General features: G+C 48.4%; 1 protein-coding gene and 1 long non-coding RNA gene across 5 annotated transcripts in view, besides 10 other annotated features; one reads left to right on the top strand and one right to left on the bottom strand.

The window, feature by feature from the left end:
* The window catches only part of PLCG2 (phospholipase C gamma 2), a 223,645-nt gene that overhangs the window by 119,061 nt on the left and 79,387 nt on the right, over window positions 1–25,197 (bottom strand). The window lies entirely within an intron of this gene.
* Window positions 834–893: an enhancer, noted in NCBI's record as "active region_11224". NCBI's record gives its function as "activates an Ori minimal core promoter by ATAC-STARR-seq in GM12878 lymphoblastoid cells {active_cell/tissue: GM12878}" and the evidence as "EXISTENCE:reporter gene assay evidence [ECO:0000049][PMID:35858748]".
* Window positions 6,453–6,642: an enhancer, noted in NCBI's record as "active region_11223". NCBI's record gives its function as "activates an Ori minimal core promoter by ATAC-STARR-seq in GM12878 lymphoblastoid cells {active_cell/tissue: GM12878}" and the evidence as "EXISTENCE:reporter gene assay evidence [ECO:0000049][PMID:35858748]".
* Window positions 10,478–10,527: an enhancer, noted in NCBI's record as "active region_11222". NCBI's record gives its function as "activates an Ori minimal core promoter by ATAC-STARR-seq in GM12878 lymphoblastoid cells {active_cell/tissue: GM12878}" and the evidence as "EXISTENCE:reporter gene assay evidence [ECO:0000049][PMID:35858748]".
* Window positions 11,218–11,799: an enhancer, noted in NCBI's record as "H3K27ac-H3K4me1 hESC enhancer chr16:81865431-81866012 (GRCh37/hg19 assembly coordinates)". NCBI's record gives its function as "activates a minimal SCP1, AML or CMV promoter by ChIP-STARR-seq in naive H9 embryonic stem cells {active_cell/tissue: H9 hESC(naive)}" and the evidence as "EXISTENCE:reporter gene assay evidence [ECO:0000049][PMID:30033119]".
* LOC124903731 (uncharacterized) lies at window positions 11,731–14,039 on the top strand. Its single transcript, XR_007065139.1, has 2 exons — window positions 11,731–11,827; window positions 13,789–14,039. It is a non-coding gene; the product is annotated as an uncharacterized LOC124903731 (long non-coding RNA).
* Window positions 11,800–12,381: an enhancer, noted in NCBI's record as "H3K27ac-H3K4me1 hESC enhancer chr16:81864849-81865430 (GRCh37/hg19 assembly coordinates)". NCBI's record gives its function as "activates a minimal SCP1, AML or CMV promoter by ChIP-STARR-seq in naive H9 embryonic stem cells {active_cell/tissue: H9 hESC(naive)}" and the evidence as "EXISTENCE:reporter gene assay evidence [ECO:0000049][PMID:30033119]".
* Window positions 20,110–20,309: an enhancer, noted in NCBI's record as "active region_11221". NCBI's record gives its function as "activates an Ori minimal core promoter by ATAC-STARR-seq in GM12878 lymphoblastoid cells {active_cell/tissue: GM12878}" and the evidence as "EXISTENCE:reporter gene assay evidence [ECO:0000049][PMID:35858748]".
* Window positions 20,420–20,589: an enhancer, noted in NCBI's record as "active region_11220". NCBI's record gives its function as "activates an Ori minimal core promoter by ATAC-STARR-seq in GM12878 lymphoblastoid cells {active_cell/tissue: GM12878}" and the evidence as "EXISTENCE:reporter gene assay evidence [ECO:0000049][PMID:35858748]".
* Window positions 21,290–21,439: an enhancer, noted in NCBI's record as "active region_11219". NCBI's record gives its function as "activates an Ori minimal core promoter by ATAC-STARR-seq in GM12878 lymphoblastoid cells {active_cell/tissue: GM12878}" and the evidence as "EXISTENCE:reporter gene assay evidence [ECO:0000049][PMID:35858748]".
* Window positions 21,450–21,639: an enhancer, noted in NCBI's record as "active region_11218". NCBI's record gives its function as "activates an Ori minimal core promoter by ATAC-STARR-seq in GM12878 lymphoblastoid cells {active_cell/tissue: GM12878}" and the evidence as "EXISTENCE:reporter gene assay evidence [ECO:0000049][PMID:35858748]".
* Window positions 21,820–21,919: an enhancer, noted in NCBI's record as "active region_11217". NCBI's record gives its function as "activates an Ori minimal core promoter by ATAC-STARR-seq in GM12878 lymphoblastoid cells {active_cell/tissue: GM12878}" and the evidence as "EXISTENCE:reporter gene assay evidence [ECO:0000049][PMID:35858748]".

Genomic DNA, 25,197 nt, shown 5'->3' with positions numbered 1-25,197 from the left:
GCAATGGGTTCATCAAAGCACCCAAAAATTGGGCATTTGTTGCTGTAGATGCTTTGTATTCACGCGAAAAATATTGGTAGGCTGATTTTAGGTACTTAAGGTTGTTAAGTGATACTAAGGAAATTGGCTGGGGTGTTTCAATCAGTTGGTAATGCATCAGCGCTTGTCTCTGTGTAATATGATGTAATATATTGCAATCCAAAAATGTTCCTCTCCAGTGTGTTTTCAGGAATGTACTGGATTCAGCTAAGAAGGAATGTGCCTATTTGTAAGTGTGCACGTATGAGTGTAAAGGTGTGAGAAAGGGTACCAAAAGATTTCCACCAACTTGCTGACAACAGGCACTACTAGTGAGAAGGAGATGGGCAAATGATGGTCAAGGAGGGCTTTGTCTGCATGGGTTCAAATTTTTGCCAAGGGCTCATAGTGACTGAAACAACACTTTATTCTCAAAGTAGGCTGTGGTCAGCAGACCTCAGGCCATGCACTCTTGCATGGTGGGGCTCAGTGGCCGAGTTTCCTGCTTGAAGAAAGTGAGATAACCCAGCCACAGAAATGAGGCTTCATCTTTGCACAACCCCACCCCCTTCCCAGCATCACCTCGGGTCTTCCCAGGTCCACCCCACCCCCACCACCCATCCCTCCACTCCCACCCCCTGCAAACAAACCCCCACACACTGAGTCTCCTAGAGTCAGCCTCAAAGGCCGGCACCCCACTCCAGCCACCCTCCCTCAGCCCTCCCTGCCTACCCATCACCTTCTGGCACAGCCTTGCGGACTTTTGGCCCCTCCGTACGTCTCATAGCTTCCTCTCACTCCCCGCTTTACACCACCGACCCCTTTGCTGGCCGGGCCATGACCCTGTTCTTCAAGCTCCCATTTCCTTCCTCCTCCCGCTACTGATTCTCTGTCTCTCTCAGGCTCCCTGCACCCACGGAACGTCCTCCCACCCCTGACACCAGGAACATGGCTTTTTCCCCAATTCCCATACATGACCTCAAGGGGCACCACACCTGACAATGAGCTTAACAAAAATTTCTCTCTGGAAGCTCAAGACATATTCAAGCGAGCAAACAGACAGACAGAAGGCTTGGGCACCTTCCCACACATACCCCAACCTCTTTTCCGACTTTCAGTTATTCAGTCAACCAGGCAGTCACAGAACCCCACGCTGAGCGCTAGGGATGCCACACTGCAGAGACAGACACAGTCCTGCCCTCAGACGGCTCCGAGTCTGGGAGGGAGGACAGGCCCTGTCCAGGCCGGCATATGATATGTGAATATCCACATCTCCATCCACATCAGGAGTGCAACAGAGTCCACACTGGGGCTCCTCCCCAGCAAGGGGAAGAAAGGCTTCTCTGAGCACATGCATCCTGGCTGAGTTCTGCAGACTGGAGCTCACCTGGGAAGAAGAGGAGAAAGCCTCCCTTTGTAGGGAGTTCTGGAGTACAAAGACCTTGGTTCAAATCCTGGCTTATGCTCCCCAGGGGTGCACAGGAACCAGGCACGTTGCATCCCTTCTCTTTGCTGTTTCCTCCGCTGTACAAGCAGTGATGCTTATCATTGAGTTGTCATGCAAACCAAATGAAATAACATGAAATAAAAATCACGTGGCCCCAGGAGGGCTCCACCAAGGTGAGTTTAGCTACTAGGCTGAATGGTTTTCTGTACCACCTTGCAACACCAGCTTCCCAGCTGCTGGTGGTTTCACTTTAAGTAAAAAGCCCCAGCGTTGCTTACTGATCTCAGCCAAGGACCCTGCTTTAAGAAAAACCAAAGGTGTTAGGTTACTTCACACATGTAGCAGCGTCTGACATGGCAGCTGGGGGAATAGGTGAGATACACAGCAGAAGAACATGTAATGACAAAAGGGGCTTCCGAGGCACACACGGTAGAGCAGAAAGAGCCCAGCTCTAGAAGGATCTAGCAGGCATGAGTTAAATCCAGCTCTTTCTCTCCTGGCTGTATGAAGAAGCCTCTATTCTGGCTTACTGTCTATTTTCTCATCTATGAAATGGAAAAAGAACATACACCCTATAGAGATATATCTGAAAAAAAACTTTGCAAAAAGTAAAGTTTACAGCCGGGCGCAGTGGTTCATGCCTGTAATCCCAGCACCTTGGGAGGCCGAAGTGGGCAGATCACTTGAGGTCAGGAGTTTGAAACCAGCCTGGCCAACATAGTGAAATGCTGTCTCTACTAAAAATACAAAAATTAGCTGGGCATGGTAGTAAGCGCCTGGGTGCCTGTAATCCCAGCTACTCAGGAGGCTGAGAAGAACGGCTTGAGCCCAGGAGACGGAGGTTGAAGTGAGCCAAGATCATGCCACTGCACTCCAGCCTAGGCGACTCAGTGAGACTCTATCTCAATAAATAAATAAATAAATAAATAAATAAATAAATAAATAAATAAATAAAGTTTACTTTTTGGCCTGCAGATAGGGGGTGGGCCTGCCCTTATCTTCTTTGTTAAAAAGATAATAAACAACAGAGTTGTTGCCACTGCGCTGACAGCAGAGGCGAAAATCAGTGTCCTGCTTCCATGTGAAGAGATTCTTCCCAGATCATTATGCTCAAATAATTAGGTCTGTGATTCTAATGCTTCATATTCATGCAGAACTATTCAATAGATAAGAGTTTTAAGTGATACTGGGGAAACTGGTGCTTCTCTCCCCTCTGGGACTCCCCATCCCCAAGGGAGGAAGGGACCACTCCCTGGAAAAAGGAACTGAGGATACTCAGCCTCTTCATCTTGTTCTAGCTGGATCCACCCCCAAGGGACCACGTGCCCTGCCCTGTTCCTTGCCACTCGGAAGGGAGCTGCCTCCAAGACAGGGGTCCCCAATCCCCAGGCCATGAACTGGCACCTGTCTGTGGCCCGTTAGGAATCGAGCCGCACAGCAGGAGGTGAGCAGGGGTCTAGCGAACATTACTGCCTGAGCTCCACCTCCTGTCAGATCATCAGCGGCGTTAGATTCTCATGGCAGCACAAACCTTATTGAGAACTGCACATGTGAGGGACCCAGGTTGTACACTCTTTATGAGAATCTAATGCCTGATGATCTGTCACTGTCTCCCATCACTCCCAGATAGAACTGTCTAGTTGCAGGAAAACAAGCTCAGGTCTCCCACTGATTCTATATTACGGTGAGTTGTATAATTATTTCATTATATATTACAATGTAATCATAATATAAATGAAGTACACAATCAATGTAATGCCCTTGAATCATCCTCACACTATCCCCCCAGGCCAATCTGGCCCATGGAAAAGTTATCTTCCACAAAACCGGCCCCTGGTGCCAAAAAAGTCTGGGACTGCTGCTCTGAGACACCTATGGGCATCCACCCAGGCCATGACAGGGTGGGCAGCTCAGGGGCCAGCTGTCAGGGCTCAATTCTAAGCATGCTCTCCAGGCAGCCATCTCATCGCCCTTCGTTGATTGCCGATGTTTCATTTCTCAATCATTTCCAAACTCAGGAGACAATGAGAAAATGAGGAGCTTTATGTGCTCACCACTAACACCCCCAGCATGGGCCATCAAATAATTCTTTAAGTTTTTTTGGAGACAAGGTCATGCCCTGTCACCCAGGCTGGAGTGCAGTGGCACAATCACAGCTCACTGCATCCTTGAACTCGTAGGCTCAAGGGACCCTCCTGCCTCAGCCTCCCAAAGCCAGGTGACTGGGACTACAGGCATGCACCATCACACCTACCTAAGTTTTCTCTTTTTAGTAGAGACAAGGTCTCACTATGTTGCCTAGGCTGGTCTCAAATCCCTGGCCTCAAGTGATCCTCCCATTTTGGTTTCCCCAAGTGTTGGGATTACAGGCATGAGCCACCATGCCCAGCCTAAATGTTCATCATTTTGGTGCCATTTAAACTTGGTGTTTTTCACCCTCCTGCTGGTAATTAAATTTAAATGGTGCCCACCCTTTGTTATGTCTTAACTGTAGTATATTTTAAAATATATTGAAAAAATACATACCTGGCACCTCTAAACTATGAAATCAAGTTTCTTTTCTATATAAAATTAAGTTTAAAAATAGTGAATCAATATTAAAATAAGTATTAGATATAAAATAGTACTCATGGTATGCAAATATAACAAAAATTATTAAGGCAATAAAGGAAGGGCTCATTACTTTATATACAGCCTATTAATATTTTAATAGGCTAATTCTGCTTTTCTTTAAACCAGTACTGTGTATCAAAATTACACAGAAAACTCTCATTATACAAAGACTATATAGAGATTTTTTTTTTTCCTCACACATGGATTGACCAGTTTTGGGGGGTGGTTTGGAGCCATATGACATTATTTCTCAAACTGCAAACATTTGTTTATCAACCTTATAAGGTTTGTTGTATCTGCCTACTGCTGATACTATTTATGTGATAGTTTTCTTTAAATCAACTCACCGTTTTCACCTGAACTGATGTATGTTAAGAGTGATTTTATGTTTTTGGCAAAAAGAAAACCAGTAACACTCACCATATACAATAGGAACTGCAAAATAATAAAATCAGTGGAAACGTGACAATATGATTAAATTCTACCTAGAAATAGTTGTCTGCTGGAAGCAAAACCCTCGGCTTGGTTCTGTGAGTCATAAAGGGAAATGAGAAGCCTTTAAGAGAGGCACAAAGCCAATTAGCCATGCAAGACTCACTGATGGGGTCAGAGTGGTGTCACCTAAAGAGAGGACTGGGTCACCGGGACCCGAGGAATGGCCACAGAGGTGGACCCATGCTTAAAGCCTTGAGCCTTACATGCACCATGTGTGCATTTTACCACATCTATGTTATTTACATATATATATATATATATATATATATATATTTAATTTTACTTTAAGTTCTGGGATACATGTGCGGAACGTGCAGGTTTGTTACATAGGCATACCTGTGCCATGGTGGCTTGCTGCACCTATCAACCCATCATCTAGGTTTTAAACCCTGCAGGCATTAGGTATTTGTCCTAACGCTCTCCCTCCCCTTGCCCCCACCCCCTGACAGGCCCTGGTGTGTGATGTTCCCCTCCCTCTGTCCATGTGTTCTCATTGTTCAACTCCCACTGATGAGTGAGAACATGCGGCGTTTGGTTTTCTGTTCCTGTGTTAGTTTGCTGAGAATGATGGCTTCCAGCTTCATCCATGTCCCTGCAAAGGACATGAACTCATTCTTTTTTATGTCTGCAAGTTATATTTTAATAAAGACATTTCATATCTTTCAGGCTGGCAACGGCGGCTCATGCCTGTAATCCCAGCACTTTGGGAGGCCAAGGCAGGCAGATCACATGAGGCCAGGAGCTCAAAACCTGCCTGGGAAACATGGTGAAACCCCATCTCTACTAAAAATATAAACATTAGCCAGGCATGGTGGCAGGTGCCTACAGTCCCAGGTGCTTGGGAAGCTGGGAGGTTGAGGCAAGAGAATCACTTGAACCCAGGAGGCAGAGGTTGCAGTGAGCCAAGATCAAGCCAGTGCACTCTAGCCTGGGCAACAGAGCCAGACTCCGCCTCAAAAAAAAAAGAAAATTAGTATCTTTCAAAGACAGACATGTTAAAATTTTGGAAATGGAATTGGTGTAAGAAATCATTACATTGCTTTAGTCTCTTGACTATGATGGCAGATATAGGATGCTATGCATGTGACCAAATTGTACATAACTAAATACACACAAGTACAAGGAAAATGGGGGAAAATCTGAATAAGACTGGTAGTGGGTTCTATGAATGTTGTGAATGTTAATATCCTGGCTGTGATACTGCACTACAGGTTTGCAAGATATTACCATTGGGGATAATTGGGTAACGTTCACATGAGATCTCTCTGTATCATTTCTTACATCTTTATGTGATTCTTCAATTATCTCAACAAAAATTCCAATGGAAAAAAATGCACAGCATCAAGGAGAAAAAAAAAAAAAAAAAACACATGTTGGTACCAAACAGATGTTCTTGTCATAATCAGGAAGACGGAAAGGGAACTGAGAAGGAAACCACACTCCCAACCTTGGTTCAGGCTCCCTAGGCACTGCCTGTTGTTAACGCTTTGCCATGGCACCCACGACACGGGGGTCCCTGCGGAGAGCATCCCTTACTCCTCCCAGGGGATTCTACCAGCCACCTCTGGGCTCCGCCTTCTGCCAGGACCCGTCCTATTTCCCGCCCAGCTAGAAATAGATGTTCATGCAGCCTCCTGATAAGCTGGGCACTGAAACCCAGAGGAAGTGGCCTGCAGGGTGCCCACTCGTTTGGAAAAGGCAAAGGTCACACAGCTATAGAAGCCAGCTGGGACCACAATTCCTAGGAATGTCAGCAAGGAGTTGAGGTAGTCTGAGAACTGGCAGAAGAGTAAATGCAGACTTCCCTTTCAACAACAGCCTTTCATTTGATCACACACTTTTCTGACTTCCATCTGAAGCAGCACTGCATGTATATGTATTCTCGTTCTTTGAGTTTGCTAGTTTGTCTTTTTTTGTTTTTGTTTGCTTTTTACAGCAAGAGAAAGGTTCTCAAAATACAGACAACTACCTTAACTTGGATGGCCTGGAATAAATTCTAGAGTTGTAACTGATGTTGAGTCTTCCCATGGAGAACGCTGGTCCTCAACTTCCTACTAAGGACCTTTCGGCTTCAGAGAAAACCAAACAGGAGGAAAGGGAAGGGAAACCACATGCACAGAAACACTGAGTACATGCCCGTGTGCACAGCAGGGGTCCTGACACCTGTGCACTCATGTAAGGCTGAGATGACTGTCTTCCTTCCACAGGTGGGGAGGCTGAAGCAGAGAGAGTCACTGACTCATTCAAGGTCACAATGGTTGAGCCAGAACTTGAACCTGAATGGCCAGGCTCCAAAGTTTGCACTCGTTTTTGAGACATAGTGTTGCTCTGTTGCTGAGGTTGGAGTGCAGTGGCACAATCTCAGCTCACTGCACCTCAGCCTCCTGAGTTCAAGCGATTCTCCTGCCTCAGTCTCCTAAGGAGCTGGGACCAAAGGAGTGTGCCATCATGCCCGGCTAACTTTTGTATTTTTGTTGGAGATGGCGTTTCACCATGTTAACCAGGCTGGTCTCAAACTCCTCACCTCAGGTGATCCACCCACCTCACCCTCCCAAAGTGCTGGAATTACAGGCATGAGTCACCTTGCCCGGCCCAAAGCTTGCACTCTTAACCACTACCAAGGGAAGGATGAAACGAGAAGCCAAGATCCAAAGTGCTCTCCCCTGCAGACAGCAAAAACCTCTTGGCTCCACCAGTGGGAATACGAGTCCATGGCTGACACGTGGGCCAATACAGGGCACCAGGAGATCCACGATCCAGTCCCACTGCCACTACCTTACTGTGTGACCTTGGGAGAGTCATTTTACCTCCCTGGGCCTCAGTTTCCCCCTCTGAGAAATGCAGGGATTGGGTCAGCTGTGTCATTTGGATAGTCTCTAGGGTATGAAAACACTAGTTGACACCAATTCAGGATGAAAATGACTCTGGTCTTGTCCTTGGTGGCCCTGGAAAGAAAGTATAAACGGGTAATGTTGGGGGTTGAACTGCATCCCCCAAAAACATACATAGAAGTCCAGTCCCTGGTATGTGTGAATGTGGCCTTCTTTGGAAATAGGGTCTTTGCAGATGTAGTCAAGATGAGCTCATGCTGGATTAGGGTGGGTCCTAACCCAAGACTACTGTCCTTGTAAGAGGGAAATTTGGACAGAGACACACTCAGAGGGAGAGATGGGAGTGCCAATATCCACCAGCCAAGGGACACCCAGGGTCACCAGCAGCTACCAGAGGCCAGGAAGAGGAGAGGAAGGATCCTCCCCTAGAGCCTCCAGCGGGAGCACTGCCCTACCAACACCTTGATTTCAGACTTCTAAGCTCCACACTGCAAGGGAATAAGTACATTTCTGTTTTAAGTCCCTCATTTTGTGGCACTTGTGTTATGGCAACCACAGGACACTAATATAGGTAATAACATGGTTTTCCTATTATCTTCAATTATTATCATTATTATTATGATTATTATTATTATTATATTTGAGACCGAGTCTTGCTCTGTCGCCCAGGCTAGAGAGCAATGGCACAATCTCAGCTCACAGCAACCTCCACCTCCCAGGTTTAAGCGATTCTCATACCTCAGCCTCCCAAGTAGTGTCACCACACCCGGCGAATTTTTGTATTTTTGGTAGAGATGGGGTTTCGCCATGTTGGCCAGGCTGCTTTCAAACTCCTGACCTCAGGTGATCTGCCCGCTTTGGCCTCCCAAAGTGCTGGGATTACAGGTGTGAGCCACCACACCCGGCCATCTTCATTATTATTATAACAGCTACTTACTAAGTGTTAGCTGTACGTAAGGTAGTATATTAACTGCTTCACCTAAATTATCCCATTTCGTGCCAGCCACCCTACGACAGAGGAGTCATTATTATACCCATTTTGCAGACATAAAATTCTAAGGCTCAAAGCAGACAAGGAGCTTGTCCAAGGTCACACAGTGAATCAATAACAGAGCTGACACCAAACCAAGTAAGTGGCACCTGGAAGGCCACTTCCTCCTCTTTGGGTACCTCCACCTCCTCCCACTGAGAAAAACAGTGTTCATGACACCAGGAGGTGGGCAATGGGCCTTTCCCCTGCCCACAGGGTCTGTTCTCCAGAGAGCAGATTACAGCAAGGACTTGGCACTTTTGCAGTAGTACCCAGTTCTACAATGGACCAAGGCTGCCTCCCCATCCACCCAAGAGGAATCCAGAGTTAGCCATAAAAGACCAAAGGAACAAATAAAAACTCCTCAGCTCATGGCCAAGAAGCTCTGGGGACTGGCAGGAGGTTTTGTTAAAGGAGATTGTCCTCGTCCTGGGAGCCCTTGTAAAGGGCAGCCATGCCTTGGTCCAGTGGGTTCTCCTCCCCACCCTGCTCAGATCTCACCCTGTCCCAGGTGGGTCCTACCAGAATCTTCCTCTCAGGAACATCCCTCAAGGAGCCCCAGCTCTGAAACTCCCAACAGCAGCAGCAGCAGCAGCAGCTCTGCAGATCCAGGGTCTATCAACCACGTGACGAGTGCTCTCTGTCCATCATCTCAGCGGTCTCTCCCAAAGCCCTAAGTAACTACCATTATCATCAACTCCATTTTGCAGAAGGGGAAACTGAGGCTCAGGCAGGTTGGGCAAGCTGGGGTCTGAGTCCTGCCAGTCTAGCTGCAGGCCCAGAGTTCTCCAACACCACCCGCGCCGGCTCCTGGGCTAAGACTCTCACACAGACCGCCCTCACAATTCTGCCAGCAGCCAGCAGAACACCGAGCCCTCCGAGGTCAAGTTCAGGGCAGAAACACCTACTGGGACAGAGAACAAACCAGGTCCCCCTTACTGAACATTTAATAGGTGTCAGAGTTGACCTCAACATCTCTTTAATCCTCCCACCAATCTTGGGAAGAAAGCCCCATTTTCCAGAGACAGCCCAGGAAGATGAAGTCACCCATTCAAGGCCACCTGGCTGGGTTTTGATGCCAAAGACACCAGGGTAGTCTGTGCGGGTGGCCCACAGTGGAAGGCCCGGAGACAAGGTAAGTCCAGTTACCTCCTGTCCCCATTCCCACGTTCCAGCAGCTGCTCCCTGAATGACCTCTCAGAAAACCTTGGGGTGAACCTGCTAGCTTCTGGCTAAAGATGAATGCTTCCTTTGAAGTCAGGTAAGCCTCTGCAGACAGAGAGATGCCAGAAGCATTCAGCACTCCCATCGCCAAAGGCAATCGTTAGGCAAGACACACAGGAGGCCGGGCGCCGTGGCTCATGCTTGTAACCCCACCACTTTGGGAGGCCAAGGCAGGAGGACAGCTCGAGCCCAGGAATTCCGAGACCAGCCTAGGCAACACCCTCACCTTGGCTGTAAGTTCCCACCTCTACAAAAAAATATATATAATAATTAGCCAGGAGTAGTGGTGCATGCCTGTGGTCCCAGCTACTCAGGAGGATGAGGTAGGAGCATTTCTTGATCCTAGGAGGTGGAAGGTACAGTGAGCTGTGATCACACCACCGCACTCCAGCCTGGGTGACAGAGTGAAATCCTGACTCAAAAAAAAAAAAGATTTTTTTAAATTTTGAAATTGAAAAAAAAAAAAACAGGCAGGAGTATCCTTTTACCTTGTCAGTGATTAACAGGAGAGGCCAGGGGCTTCCAGGTGCCTCCTCCTCACCCACAGGGAACGGCCACCCCGGGCCAGAATACTGGCTCAGGACCCGTGTACCGACCGGAGCCACAGTCCAGGAAAAAGGACCCTGGGGGTGTGGACAGATTGCGAAAGAAGGCCCCAGTCCTCCAGAAGCTTCTCCAGAGCCCAGTGACTCTAACACACAACCAGGCTGTGGCCCCCACAGAAAGGTAAAGCACTCCTTCTTTAAAGGGTGATTTTCATTCTGGGGTTGCTGAACCCCAAACGTGGTATCCTCATGCTGTGGGCTCTTCTCACAGACCAGACTCAGGGAAGGAATGGGTTCTGCGAGGTGGGTGCCAGCAGGAAAGCACCCTCACCTTGGCTGTAAGTCCCCACAAGACACCCCCTCTCTGAGAGGTTGCCTTCCGCTTCTGGACTTCCCTTTCCAGGTCCTCATCACATCTCACAAGCGTGACTTGTTTCCCTCAGTTACTGTCATGGCCCCAGCAGCAAGCTGGGCACACAGGAGGCCTTCAAGTATCGGCTGACCACTGGCTGCCTGGGCCTCACACGCTGACACCTTCCTATCTGGGCACTTAGCCTGCTCTCTTATGGCTAATGGGTCACCCACAGGGTCTCCCACTAGCTGCAAGGATGGCAGGCCTCTGCCTCATTCTCTAGCTTTGCAAGAATGGGATCTGATCCTCACGCAGTCAACTGGATATCATACCACTCACAGAAGTGTAATTAAAATGGTAGATTCTGCCTGGGCGCAATGGCTCATGCCTGTAATCCCAGCACTAAGGGAGGCTGAGGCAGGAGAATGGCTTCAGCTCTGCAGTTTAAGACCAGCCTGGGCAACACGGCAAAATCCCATCTCCACAAAAAATACATACACACACACACACAAATTAGCTGGGCATGGTAGTGCACATCAGTAGTCCCAGCTACCTGGGAGGCTGAGGTGGGAAGATAGCTTGAACCCAGGAGACAGAGGTTGCAGTGAGCCGTGATCATGCCACTGCGCTCCCACCTGGGTGATAGAGTGAGATCGTGTCTCAAAAAAAGGCAGGGTGGGGACAGATTCTACTCAAAAAGGAAAAGAAGAGCATGCATTAGGGAATATTCACTTAACCTCTTTTGCTTAATCTGAGGATTATTCCTAAAATGTGGCTGCCATGTGGAGCGGAGCCCAGGAGAGAGGCTCTGATGGTGACTGCCACCTCTGACCACTACCACTGTTAACAATGATGGTGAATATCCCCCCAAGTATTCACCATGAGTCAGGCACTGAGCAAAGGCTTTATGTGCATTTCCTCATTTGAGTGCCACAGAATCGCCACAATATCACTATTCCCCCCCTCCATTTATCAAAGGAGAAGACTGAGGCCGGAGGACGACAAAGCCCACTGCTGGTAACTGTGTCCGAGTGCCCAGGCTCAATGGTGGGGCATGACTGGCTCCAGCAAGACAGCAGCCTGCAGAAGTCAGTCCCTTCCGCTAGGGCAAGAGGAGTCACCCCTGCCCCCGCTTTGCCTGTGCAAATGAGTCTTCATTTGTGGTTAGCAAGCCAGCCCTTCATTTCCCCACCAGGCTCAGAGTTTTGCAAACCAAAGTTGGGGGATGGCTAGCGTGGCCTCCCGGCAGTTCCTGTTGCAGACAGCTAGAAGGTAAGAGCCTTCCTTCCCTTTCAGACAAGGCAGGATTGGGGCAAGAGCGGGGAGCCTCCTGGGGTCCCCATTACCCTCTAGCCCAGGCACTTCTGGCCTAAGTTCCCCCTAACACAAGGATCTGAGTCCCACTCGGGGTACAAATGCCTGCTGGACTCCACAGCTTGGGGCTGAAATCTACCTGCCTCCCTCTTTCCCAGCACTGGTCAGAGACCCAGCCAGGGGTCCCAACTGGAGTATGGGGTTGGATGAGGTTCAAATACTAACCCCACCATGTCCCCAGGTGTAAAACTGAGACAAATAGAGAGGGCCAGTTTCGTGGCATTGACATGAGGATTTAAGGAGACCAAGTTCATGGCCAAGTGCTTAGTGCAGTGCCTGGCACACAGCCTGTGTTTAAATGTTTGCTGCTATTATCCACAGATTCTCACGATGATGGTCACGTCCGTTCATTCAGCCATTAGGTCAACAAAGAGTAGGTAAAAGCCAGCGTGCCAGGCACTGTTCTGGGAGCTGGGGATACAGCTATGAATAAAACAGACCAAATTCCTGGCCTCGAAGAATTACATTCTAATAGGAGGAGACAGAGACAAGTCAATATTTATTACACTTGGCAATCACAAGTGCTACAAAAACTAAACCAAAGAAGAGCAAAGCATGGTGTGTGACCAGGAGGGAGGGGCTCTCATAGAAGGTGTTATCAGGGAGGCCTCCCCAGAGGTGGTGACATCTGGGCTGATGTCTGAGATAGAATATTTCAGGCAGAGCAAATAGTAAATGCAAAGGCCCCAAGATGGAAATGTGTATGGTTGGTTGTAGGAAGAGCAAGGTTGTCACCAGCTGGGACACACTGCGTATGCTCTCTGAAACCCTCATGACCCGCAGTGCCTGTCCATCTCCCCTCTCCTGCCTGGACATTCTAGTCACGCTGTCTCTGCACTTGCATATACCCTCAGTCATCCAGAAGCCCGATGCCCCCCTCACCCTTCCCATCCCCCTCCACTATCACACACTGTGTCTGTCAGTCTCCTCCAGGGTCCTCTGGAGTCAGCTGCAGCCCTTGGCAGATGATTTTGCCATTTCATTCATATATATACATATATAAAATATATGTGTGTATATATATATATACACACACACACACACACACCCCACACATTTTTTTGTTGTTGTTTTTTAAGACACAGTCTTACCAGGCATGGGGGCTTATGCCTGTAATCCCAGCACTTTGGGAGGCTGAGGCCTATGGATCACTTGAGGTCAGGAGTTCCAAGACCAGCATGGCCAACGTGGTGAAATCCTGTCTCTAATAAAAATACAAAAATTAGCCAGTGGTGGTGGCATGCGCCTATAATCCCAGCTACTTGGAAGGCTGAGGCACAAGAAACGCTTGAACCCAAGAAGTGGAGGTTGCAGTGAGCCAAAAGTAGCACCACTGCCCTCCAGCCTGGGCCACAGAGCAAGACTCTGTCTCAAGAAAAAAGAAGAAGAAAAAGACAAGACACTGCTGGAGTGAGTGGCATGATCACAGCTCACTACAGCCTCAACCTCCTGGGCTTAGGTGATCTTCCCACCTCAGACTCCTAAGTAGCTGGGACCACAGATGCGTGCCAACATGCCTGGCTAATTTTTGTACTTTTTGTAGAGACAGGGTTTCATCATGTTACCCAGGCTATTCTCAAATCCCTGGGCTCAAGTGATCCCCCTGCCTCAGCCTCCCAAAGTGCTGAGATTATAGGCATGAGCCACTGCACCCGGCCACTATTATATATTTAATCTCTCCACTCCTTGAAGGCAAGACAGCACTGCCCGTTCATGGGTCCACAGCAGGAAAGTGCCTGGCACCTAGTGGGGATGCCACCGAGAGGTAGAATAAGCCCCCTAGAGAGCGATTTGGCACTCACTACTGAGGCTGGAAATACACACGCCCCCCCACTCAGAGGTTCCTTCCCCATCCACAGCTACCACAGCACCCTCTGCAATTTCAAAGGAGAAAGGGACTCAGCACAAATGCCCAGCAGGAGAGAGTGGACAAAATGGCTCTTGTCACCAATGGAATGCTCTACAGCAATTCAAAAGAAAGAAACACCTCTACATATCGATGGAAATAAACAAAAACTAGGTGCAATGTGGTGTCCTGGATGAATCCTGGAACAGAAGGAGAACATACGAGGAGAAACTGTTAAAGTCCAAATAAATTCTGGAACTTTGATAGCGATGTGGTAATGTTAATTTCTCACTTTTGGCAAAGGTATCATGGCAATATAAAACAGAGAAATGGGCCGGGTGTGGTGGCTCACACCTGTAATCCCAACACTTCGGGAGGCCAAGGAGGGTGGATCACCTGAGCTTAGGAGTTCGAGACTAGCCTGGTCAACATGGTGAAACTGGCTAGGCACGGTGGCTCACGCCTGTAATCCCAGCACTTTGGGAGGCCGAGGCGGGCAGATCACCTGAAGTCAGGAGTTCAAGGCCAGCCTGACCAACAGGGTGAAATCCCATCTCTACTAAAAATACAAAAATTAGCCGGGCACGTTGGTGTGTGCATGTAATCCCAGCTACTCAGGAGGCTGAGGCAGGAGAATCGCTTGAACCCGGAAGACAGAGGTTGCAGTGAGCCGAGATCGTGCCACTGCACTCCAGCCTGGGTGACAGAGCCAGACTCCGTCTCAAAAAAAATAAAATAAAATAAAAACTACTAACTACCCCATTAATGAATGAAAATCACAGATACAAAAAAGACAGGGCAGAGGGGGCAGTCCTTGTCATCATTAAAAGCCAGGTCCTGTGCTTTTCTGACTATTCCTGAGACTAGCAATGTTTGAGAGAATGGCCCACACAGGAAATTCATTCTGTGATCTCCTGTAAAATCAGAATGCAGTTGGTAAGATACAGCCTCTTATCTCCTGAACTCATGATCCACCCACCTCGGCATTCAGAAAAGAAAAAGGAATGCAAGTTAAGGGGAAATAAATTCACATTTGTTGAAACCTTCTATGTACCCGACTTCACCAGGCACTCAGGAAAATGCCACATTGTTCAATCATCACAGCAGCTTCGGAAGGCTGAGGCTGTGACGGCTGGCTTCTATATGAGGAAACTGAGTCTCAGACGACTTTTATAACTTGCTTAAGGTTGTAAAAGCAACCTTTTCTCAAGACCCTCTGCTGACCCGCAAGGACTCGCTGATCAAAACTGCAGCTCATAAAAGCAAAGGAAGAGGCACCACACCACAGCACAGAATAAAAATGACGCTTCTCGGCCGGGTGCGGTGGCTCACGCCTGTAATCCCACCACTTTGGGAGGCCGAGATGGGTGGATCACGAGGTCAGGAGATCGAGACCATCCTGGCTAACATGGTGAAACCCAGTCTCTACTAAAAATACAAAAAAATTAGCCGGGCGTGGTGGCAGGCACCTGTAGTCCCAGGAGGCTGAGGCAGGAGAATGGCGTGTACTTGGGAGGCGGAGCTTGCAGTGAGCCGAGATCACACCACTGCATTCCAGCCTGGGTGACAGAGCAAGATTCTGTCTCAAAAAAAAAAAAAAAAAAAAAAAAAAAATGACATTTCTCAACAGTCTGGAACAGACTTCACAAGTTGTTGGCCTGGGAACTGCATCAGGGTACAGGAGTGTTTTGTCAGGTGAAGATCATTTTGCTTATTTGTGTGTTTCAATGAGTCAACTTTTTTTTTTTTTTTTTTTTTTGAGACGGAGTTTTGCTCTTGTTGCGCAGGCTGGAGTGCAATGGCATGATCTCGGCTCAGTGCAAGCTCCGCCTCCCAGGTGCAAGCAATTCTCCTTCCTCAGCCTCTCAAAGAGCTGGGATTACAGGCATCCGCCACCATGCCTGGCTACTTTTGTATTTTTAGTAGAGACGGGGTTTCTCCATGTTGATCAGGTTGGACTTGAACTCCCGACCTCAGGTGATCCACCCACCTTGGCCTCCCAAAGTGCTGGGATTACAGGCATGAACCACCGTGCCTGGCGGCGTCAACGCTTTTTTTTAAATGAGGAGATTTCACAGTAACAACCTACATTTCCAACTGCAGATCTGTGGACCCTGAGCCTGCAGCATGACGTAGGATCTGTCCACTTTACACCAGGCACACATGCACTGACTCCCCGTTAACCACGGTTCCCACCACCCTTAGAACTTTCCCAGTGTGCAGCCTGTGTTTATTGTCATTTGTCCCCTAGATACAACCTGCTTCTCTTATTTAGGTCACCTATCCAGCTGCCTGCAGGTATTTATGTTTCTGATCCCTCATCTGAAACAGAGGAAGTAGGATTTTAAAGAAATAAATGCAGGCCGGGTACAGTGACTCATGCCTGTAATCCCAGCCCTTTGGGAAGCCAAGACAGGTGAACTCCTTGAGCCTAGGAGTTCGAGATCAGCCTGGGAAACATGGCAAAACCCCAGCTCTACCAAAAAAAAAATACAAAAAATAGCTGCGCATGGGAGCATACACCTGTGGTCCCAGGTACTTGGGAGACTGAGATAAGATCACTTGATCCTGGGAAGCTGAGGCTGCAGTGAGCGATAGTGGCACCACTGCACTCCAGCCTCAGTGGCAGAGTGAGACCCTGTCCCCAAAAAAAAAAAAACCCAGCAATCCTCTATAATGTATGAGATTAACCATGCACCTTACCACACATCCCGTTGAGGGGCATCCCCTGAGTCTTATTTCAGCGCAAGGTCAACAAGGACATGCAGCCCTAGGCCACAGCACAATCATGGGGCTTAGGAATCTGCAAAACATGAGGAAATTCCCTAGGGGAACAGGGAGGCTGGAAGTAGAAACAAGTCCAGGATCAAGTGTCCTATCTTCAGTCATCTCATCGGATCCACAGGAGGCAGGAGGCTGGTTCTGCGGATCTCCAGCAGGGATAAACCAAGACCTCAAATGGATACAGAAGAAGAACTTTTTAAAAACCCAGCAATTACTCAAAATTGTCTCCGGCAGCCTTGAGAGTCATACTAGAAAATCACGGTAAAGCTGTTCCAGCTAAGTGGCTTTGGGAAGGTTCTTGCTACTTTATGAAACTCAGTTTCCCCATCTATAAAATGGGTAGACTCGTCAAAAAGCATGAGGAGGATTTTTAAAGCGCCAAGGACAGAGGTTAATAAGACCACTGAGAGGACGTGGTTAATGAGTGGCTGCTGCTATCACCATTTGAAGCACTGAGTATTGTAGAGAAGCTTCCTCCAACAACCACCACTATCACTGACTGAACATGTGTTATTCTAAGTGCTTGTTACATTGAATTCTAAAACACTGCTGTGAGATAGGTCCTACTATTATTGCGATTTTATCAGTGAGGAGACTGAGGCACACGAGGTCGAGCACTTTGACCTCAAGGTCACACTGGTAAGTGCAGAGCTGAAACTGGAGCCCAGGGAACCTGCCCATGGACCCCTACACTGACCTCCTACTGCACCTAGGTGAGGACACAGATCATACTTGATGCTTTTCTCGGTTCCCCCATCTCTGAGCCTAGGATCCTGGAGCCTTGCCGTGGCAGAGGGAAGCACATCTCCAAACAGTGATGAACCCCAAGAACCAGGAGGTGGACATGATGCCAGAAATGAAGGTGGCAAAGGGGCCGAGGAGGACTCTAGCTTTCTGGCATGGGGACCTGGCTGGATGGTGGTATCTCTTACCACAATGGGGAAAACTGGAGGAATAGGTTTTAAAGGCAGAGATCTCCGTTGTTTTGGTGACAAATTCCATTTTGGACACGTTGAGTTTGAAATATTTACTAGATACCCAGTGCGACCAGACAACATTTCCAGAGCTCGCTCCAAGTTCAAAGCTCCTTTCACTGACATCTGAGAAAATTTCTCTGGTCCAATGCCATCTGATTTCTATGTCTTCTTTCTCTACGATCCACCTAACACCCTATGTGACAATCTTAGCCTTGTCATCTTGTCTCTGTCTTCCTAAGACTTGAACCCCTGAAGGACAAGACCTTGCTTTGGTCAATCTGGTGACAAGCAGAGTCTCCAGCATGTGGAGGGGCTCAGTAAATATTTACCGAATGGGTCAAGGAAAGGGATCTCAGGAGATGGTTACGTGGGAGTGTGTTTCCTATTAGATGAGTGCAAAAGTTGTCACAATTTTTGCCATTAAAGTTACAATTAAACTGCAATTACATTTGCACCAACCTACTATTACTGCTCTAAAAGATTAGAGCATCTCGGGCTGGGCGCGGTGGCTCACGCCTATAATCCCAGCACTTTGGGAGACCGAGGCAGGTGGAACACCTGAGGTCAGGAGTTGGAGACCAGCCTGGCCAACATGGTGAAACCCTGTCTCTACTAAAAATACAAAAAACTAGCCAGGTGTGCTGGCGCATGCCATGCCTGTAGTCCCAGCTACTTGGGAAGCTGAAGCAAGAGAATGGCTTGAATCCAGGAGACAGAGGTTGCAGTGAGCTGTGATCATGCCATTGCACTCCAGCCTGGGTGACAGAGTGAGACTCTGTCTCAAAAAAAAAAAAAAAAAAAAAAATTAGAGCATCTCTTCAGATCTAATTTAAAAGATTAGAGCAGTAATAGGAAAAAAACACACTCCCAAATAAGCATCACTGAGGCCAGGATGGCCCCACAAACCTAGTGGCTTACAACAACACAAATTTACCATCTTGCAATTATGCAGGTCTGATTTCCAAAACGGGTCTCGCTGGGCTAAGACCAAGGAGTCAGCAGGGCTGTGTTCCTTCTGGAGGCTCCAAGGGGGAATCCACCCATTGCCTTTCCCAGCTCTAGAGGCCACCTGCATTTCTTGGCTTGTGGCCCCTTCCTCCACCTTCAAAGCCAGAATCCTGCTCTCTCTCCCTGACTGTGACCTCCTACCTTCCTCTTTTAAAGATCCTTGTAATTACATTGGGCCTACCTGGGTCATGCAGGAGAATCTCCCCATCTCAAGATCTTTCCCTTAATCACACATGCAAAAATCTCCTTTGCCACATAATGTAACATATCCACAGGTTCCAAAGATTAGGACATGGACACCTTTGGGGGTATGTGCAGGGAGTCACCATCCAATGAAAGGTGACATCATGGGGAAGGACAAAAAGGCCAGAGGTCACATGGCAGCTACGAGAGGATCCCAGCCATCCTGGCCTCAGTGTTGCCCTTTAATTATAACCGCTGAATCTGAATGCCCAGTCTCTCCCACACCCCGTTATCTCACCAGTGTGGCACACGAGGAACATGGTGAGAAGGCCTGAGGGAGATCCAAACATGATCCCAACGAAAAGTGCCAGCCACACCTGGCTCCACAAAAGCTGGAGGTGCTTTCCAGCAGTCACAACCCCAGAGGCTGTTTGCTGACAAATCACAAGAAAATAAGTGGCTGGGGCCATGTGCAGTGGCTCACGCTTGTAATCCCAGCACTTTGGGAGGTTGAGGTGGGTGGATTACTTAAGATCAGGAGTTCAAGACCAGCCTGGCCAACGTGGTGAAACCTTGTCTCTACTAAAAATACACAAATTAGCCAGGTGTGGTGACGCATGCCTATAATCCTAGTTACTTGGGAGGCTGAGGGAGGAGAATTGCTTGAAGCCGGGAGGTGGAGGTTGCGGTGAGCTGAGATCACGCCATTGCACTCCAGCCTGGGTGACAAGAGTGAAACTCCATGAAAGAAAGAAAGAGAGAAAGAGAGGGAGGGAGGGAGGGAAGGAGGGAAAGAAAGGAAAGGACAGGACAGGACAGGACAGGACAGGACAGGACAGGACAGGACAGGAAAGGAAAGGAAAGGAAAGGAAAGGAAAGGAAAGGAAAGGAAAAAGAAAAAGAAACAGAAAAAGAAGGAAAAGAAGGAAGGAAGGAAAGGGAAAGGGAAAGGAGGAAGGGAGGAAGGAAGGAAGAAAGGATGGAAGGAAAGGAAGGAAGGGAGGAAAGAAAAGAAGGAAGAAAAAAGAAAAGAAAAGAAGGAAGGAAAAAAAAGAAAAGAAAAGAATTGTCTGGGTGCAGTGGTTCATGCCTGGAATCCCAGCACTTTGGGACACCGAGGTCAGGGGATTGCTTGAGGCCAGGAATTCAAGGCCAGCCTGGGCAACATAGAGAGACCCTGTCTCTACAGGGAAAAAAAAAAAAAATTAGCTGGGCATGGTGGTGCACATCTGTAGTCTCAGCTACTTGAGAGACTGAGGCGGGAAGATCGCTTGAGCCCAGGAGTTTGAGGCTACAGTGAGCTATGATCACACTACTGCCCTCCAGCCTGGGCGACAGAGCCAGATCCTGTCTCTTAAAAGTAAATAAACAAGAAAACAGTCATCTTAAAGCCTTCAACACAAATCCAAGCTAGACAGGAAGGGGCTCACTTCAGAGATCAGACAGTGCAGCCCCTACCCCCACTCAATCTTCACCTGGACTCTCATGGGGCGAGGGGTGGGGAGCAGCATTTCAGGGACTGGCCAGACAGGAAGCCTGGCCTCTGCGAGCAAGCAGCTCACTTCTGCGTTTCTGTCGAGAGAGGAAGCCTCTCTGCTGCAGCTGCCCCGGCCACAGGGGCTCACCAGAGGCCTGACTGCAGAGATCCAGTCTCGAGGTAAAGCCCCGGGGAAGCCAGACCTCCCCTAGGCTGAACTGAAAACAATCCATCCAGATCAGAAGGGAAGAAACATAAAAATGACCATAAGGCGCCATCATCCAAGAGGCCACTTTCCTGTGAAACCACAGCCAACATAGGCCTCGCCTGCTTTATAAGTGCCCTACGGCTGCTGCACCAATTACTGCAAACTCAGTGGCTTAAAGCAACACACATTTATCAGCTTTCAGCTCCTAGGTCAAAACCAGTCTCACTGGGCTAAAACCAAGGTGTCGGCAGCACTGGCTCCTTCTGGAGGCTCCGAGGGAAAACCTGCTTCCTGGCCATTTTCACCTTGCAGTGGCCGCCTGCAATCGTGGCCGTGTGGCCTCTTCCTCTGCCTTTGAAGCACATCATTCCAACCTCTGTTGCCATCATCTTGCCATTGTCTTCTACTCACTCTGATCTCCTGCCTTTTTCTTTTTTTTTTTTTTTTTTTTGAGATGGAGTCTCGCTCTTGTCTCCCAGGCTGGAGTGCAGCGGCATGAACTCGGTTCACTCACTACAACCTTCACCTCCCGGGTTCAAGCGATTCTCCTGCCTCAGCCTTCTGAGTAGCTGGGATTACAGGTACACGCCACCATGCCCAGTTAATTTTTGCACTTTTAGTGGAGACGGGGTTTCGCCATATTGGCCAGGCTGGTCTCGAACTGCTGACCTCAGGTGATCCACCCGCCTCGGCCTCCCAAAGTGCTGGGATTACAGGCATGAGCCACTGCCCCCAGCCCCGCCTTTTTCTTAAAAGGACCCTGTGAACACACTGGATCCACCTGGGTAACCCAGAATACTCTCCCATCTCAACCTTCTTCACTTAATTTCATCTGCAAGGTCCTCTTTACCAAGTAACATGACATACCCACAGGTTCCGGGGAGCAGGACATGGACATCTCTGGGGGCCATCAATCATGCTTACCACCTATGCCGACCCTTCAACACCCTGTCCACTGATCTGCAGAGGAGGAGAGTATTATTTCAAAGACAGTTTTGGAACATCTTCCCAGGAAAGCCAAATCTCAATCCCCCACACCCCACCACAATTGACAAAGCTAAGAGAAATTGATAACAAGCTCTAGGGCAAGCACAGAGGATAAAATTGAAAAAGGAAGAAAAAAAAGACACTCCCTATTTGCAGCATCTCTGCAGCGTAAGGGTGCTTTGCATACACACTGGAGAGTCTAGTCTCATCTTCCCTAGTTAACACAGGAAAAGAGAAGGCTCAGCGAAGTTAAGGAATTTGCCCAAAATCACACAGCCTGCAAATGGTGGATCTGGGATGGAACCCCAGGCCTGTCTGGCTCTCTCTTTGTGCTGCTCTGGAAAAAAAAAAAAACATCTTGGATCTGTCTGAGATTATTTGAGAGGGGAGGGGTCCCCAAAAGTTGTTTGCAGTAAAACCTTTTCTTTTGGGTAGGAAGTTATGCAAAGCATTTGCCACTGCCCCCAGTTGCTTGGCAAGTTAGCGGAGAAAGATCTATTTTGGGGCTCTGCGCTCCACTGATCTGTTCACCACCCGCTGCTTATACATTTTTTTCTACAGAGGCCACTTCCTGAGGCTTAAATGGGTTGGTCAGCCCAGCAAGACCAAGCCTGGCTCAGAGCAGCACACAAGGCAACAAGTAGGGCCAGCACTGAGCAGCCAGGAGCCCCCAGGACCCACCTCAAAAGGAAAACCACCCATCTTAGAAGAGGCAACGGCTGCCTGTCAGCCGATCACCAAGACACACAGCATTCGAGCCCTCGAGGAAGGCAACAGCCACCGAGGCTGCCCAACTACACATGTACATTTGTATTATTTCATTCATTCACTCATATTATTCAAGAGCCCCAAACTGGAAATACCTCCAGTATTCACCACTATGCCTTGGGGTGGTTTGTTACACAGCAAGAGACAACAATCCATTATTATTACTATGATATTTAGCATCTGCTATGTGCCAGGCATTATTCTAATCACTCACATGTTAACTCACTGAATCCCCACAACAATCTGATAAAGCGGGTAATGTGGCCAGGCACGGCGGCTCACGCACGCCTGTAATCCCAGCACTTTGGGAGGCCGAGGCGGGCAGATCATTTGACATCAGGAGTTCTAGACCAGCCTAGCCAACATGATGAGACCCTGTCTCTACTAAAAATACAAAAATTAGCCAGGCATGATGGTGTGCACCTGTAATCCCAGCTACTCAGGAGGCTGAGGTGGGCGGATCATTTGACGTCAGGAGTTCTAGACCAGCCTAGCCAACATGATGAGGCCCCCATCTCTACTAAAAACACAAAAATTAGCCAGGCATGATGGTGTGCACCTGTAATCCCACCTACTCAGGAGGCTGAGGTGGGCGGATCATTTGACGTCAGGAGTTCTAGACTAGCCTAGCCAACATGATGAGACCCTGCCTCTACTAAAAATACAAAAATTAGCCAGGCATGATGGTGTGCACCTGTAATCCCAGCTACTCAGGAGGCTGAGGTGGGAGGATTGCTTGAACCTGGGAGGCGGAAGCTGCAGTGGGCCAAGATTGCGCCACTGCACTCCAGCCTGGGTAATAGAGTGAGACTCTGTCTCAAAAAAAAAAAAATTGGGTAATGTTTCCCCATTATACAGAGGGGAAAACTGATATGCCCAAGATCTCCCATGAGGAGAATGGGGGAGTAGGCAGTGGTATATTCGGTCACTGGAATGCTGCTCAGCAACAGAAAAGGAAAAACTACTGACACTAGCAACAACATGGGTGAACCTTGAGAACATCACACAAAAGAAGTCGAATGCAAAACACAGTCTACTGTTTCATTCCATGTTTATGAAATTCTAAAACCAAGGAAAAATCCTGGATGACTCAAAGTAGGTTGGGGTGGCCTGGGGCAGGGAGTGTGCATGCTGGGGAGGGTGGGGGGCTGCAGACTGCAGAGGGAAGTGAGGGAACCCTCTCTCCTGCGATGGAAGGTGTTCTGTGTCTCAATTAGGGTGGTGGTTACACATGTCTACACATGTGTCAAAATGCATCAAACTGTGTACTTAAAATGAGTGCCTTTTATTGTATATAAATTAAATATGAAATAAAGTTCATTTTAAAAAGTTCTTAAAATATGAAGCACAACTTCCATTACCTAAAAGATCATAATCCTTAAAGATGAAATAGGACATCTTCACAGAAAAGCAACCAGATCCTAGTTTGGGTCCAGTGCTCCCTGGAGGGTAGTCAATGGGAGATATTTTTCTTTTGTGTTTGTCTATCTTTTCCAAAGGTTCTAGAATGAATCTGCATTTCTCTGATAATGGAAAATAAGACCTACTAAATGTAATTTTTAAAACTGAGCTAGGGCTAGGCACAGTGGCTCACAGCTGTAATCCCAGCACTTTGGGAGGCTGAGGCGGGCAGATCACAAGGTCAGGAGTTCGAGACCAGCCTGGCCAACATGGTGAAACCCCCATCTCTGCTAAAAATACAAAAATTAGCCAGGCATGGTGGTGGGTACCTGTAATCCCAGCTGCTCAGGAGGCTGAGGCAGGATATTCGCTTGAAACCAGAAGGCGGAGGTTGCAGTGAGCCGAGATAGCGCCACCGCACTACAGCCTGGGCGAAAGAGCGAAGCTTGGTCTCAAAAAATAATAATAATAATAAATACATAAATAACTGAGCTGGGATAGAGTCCAGCCTTCCAGAGGTGGCTGGGAAGATCTCACACCTCAGGGCAGGGTGAAAAGCAGTGGGCGAGGAGCCAGGAGGTCCACCCAGCTAAGCCTCAGGCTTCCTGGGTGCCCCAAGCCAAATCCTTGACTTCTCCAAGCCTGGCTGCACAAGGGGATTCGCAGGAGCTCCCTCGCCTCACAGGGTTGGTACCAGATGAAGCCTCAGAAATGAGCTCTGAAAATGGATATGAGGCAGTGTTGTCACTCCACACCTGGGAATCCAACACCCCCAGGATGTCCTGACTCTGCCCAGCCATCTGACTCTGGAAAGAACACAAACCATCCTCCACCCACCACATCCATCTCTAGAAGCAGCCCGGCACCCAACAAGGTCTTTGTCTTCCATGCTCAAGCACCGCCAACCTCCACTGAACCCCACAGTCAGGCCGACCAGAATGTGGATCTGAACTCTGCCATGCCCCGCTGTGTAGACTTGAGCAAGTCACTGGACCTCTCTGAGCCTCAGCTTCCTCTGCAAATTGAAGGAGTTACACCTGCCTCATGGTGGGCCTAGAAGGATGAAATAAGATGACAGTGTTGGAAATACCCTAAGTTCTCACTAAAAAGCTGTATTTATTTTTGTGATTCAAAGAGCCCCACCACAGTAAAAAAAAAAAAAAAAAAAAAAAATCCATGAGCCCACACTAGCTTATGGAAAAGGAATCAAATCCCCCTATTCATATTCTACCTAAATACCAGTTCTCATGAGGCTGCCCTCCACACTCCTCCCTTATGCCAGAGTGACAGGCTCAGCAGCCCTCAGTTTCCATGGAAACTCATGACAAGGGGCATCATGATGGAAGTTATTTCAGCCATTTCCTGCTGCCCACAGTGCCAACAAGGCTTGCTGCTGCAGAGAAAAGGTATGCCCGGCTAGTTGGCTCTGTCCTGGCTATTGTTCAGGCCACTGAAGCCTCCAGAAACACAGCCCCCACCAAGCAGATAATTCCTGAAGCTCAGGCCTTCGGAGCTCCATTTCCGTGCAGCCGATGAGTATCCCCAAGATGCAAGCAGAGGAAGAATGGCATTCACCCATGCAGACAGCATCTATGGTCTACCTGGTATGTGCTAGTCATCATGCATGAC

This window comes from Homo sapiens, chromosome 16 (assembly GCF_000001405.40).
Source record: "Homo sapiens chromosome 16, GRCh38.p14 Primary Assembly".
NCBI classification, from domain to species: Eukaryota; Metazoa; Chordata; class Mammalia; order Primates; family Hominidae; genus Homo; species Homo sapiens.
This window is presented reverse-complemented; position numbering and strand designations above follow the sequence as displayed.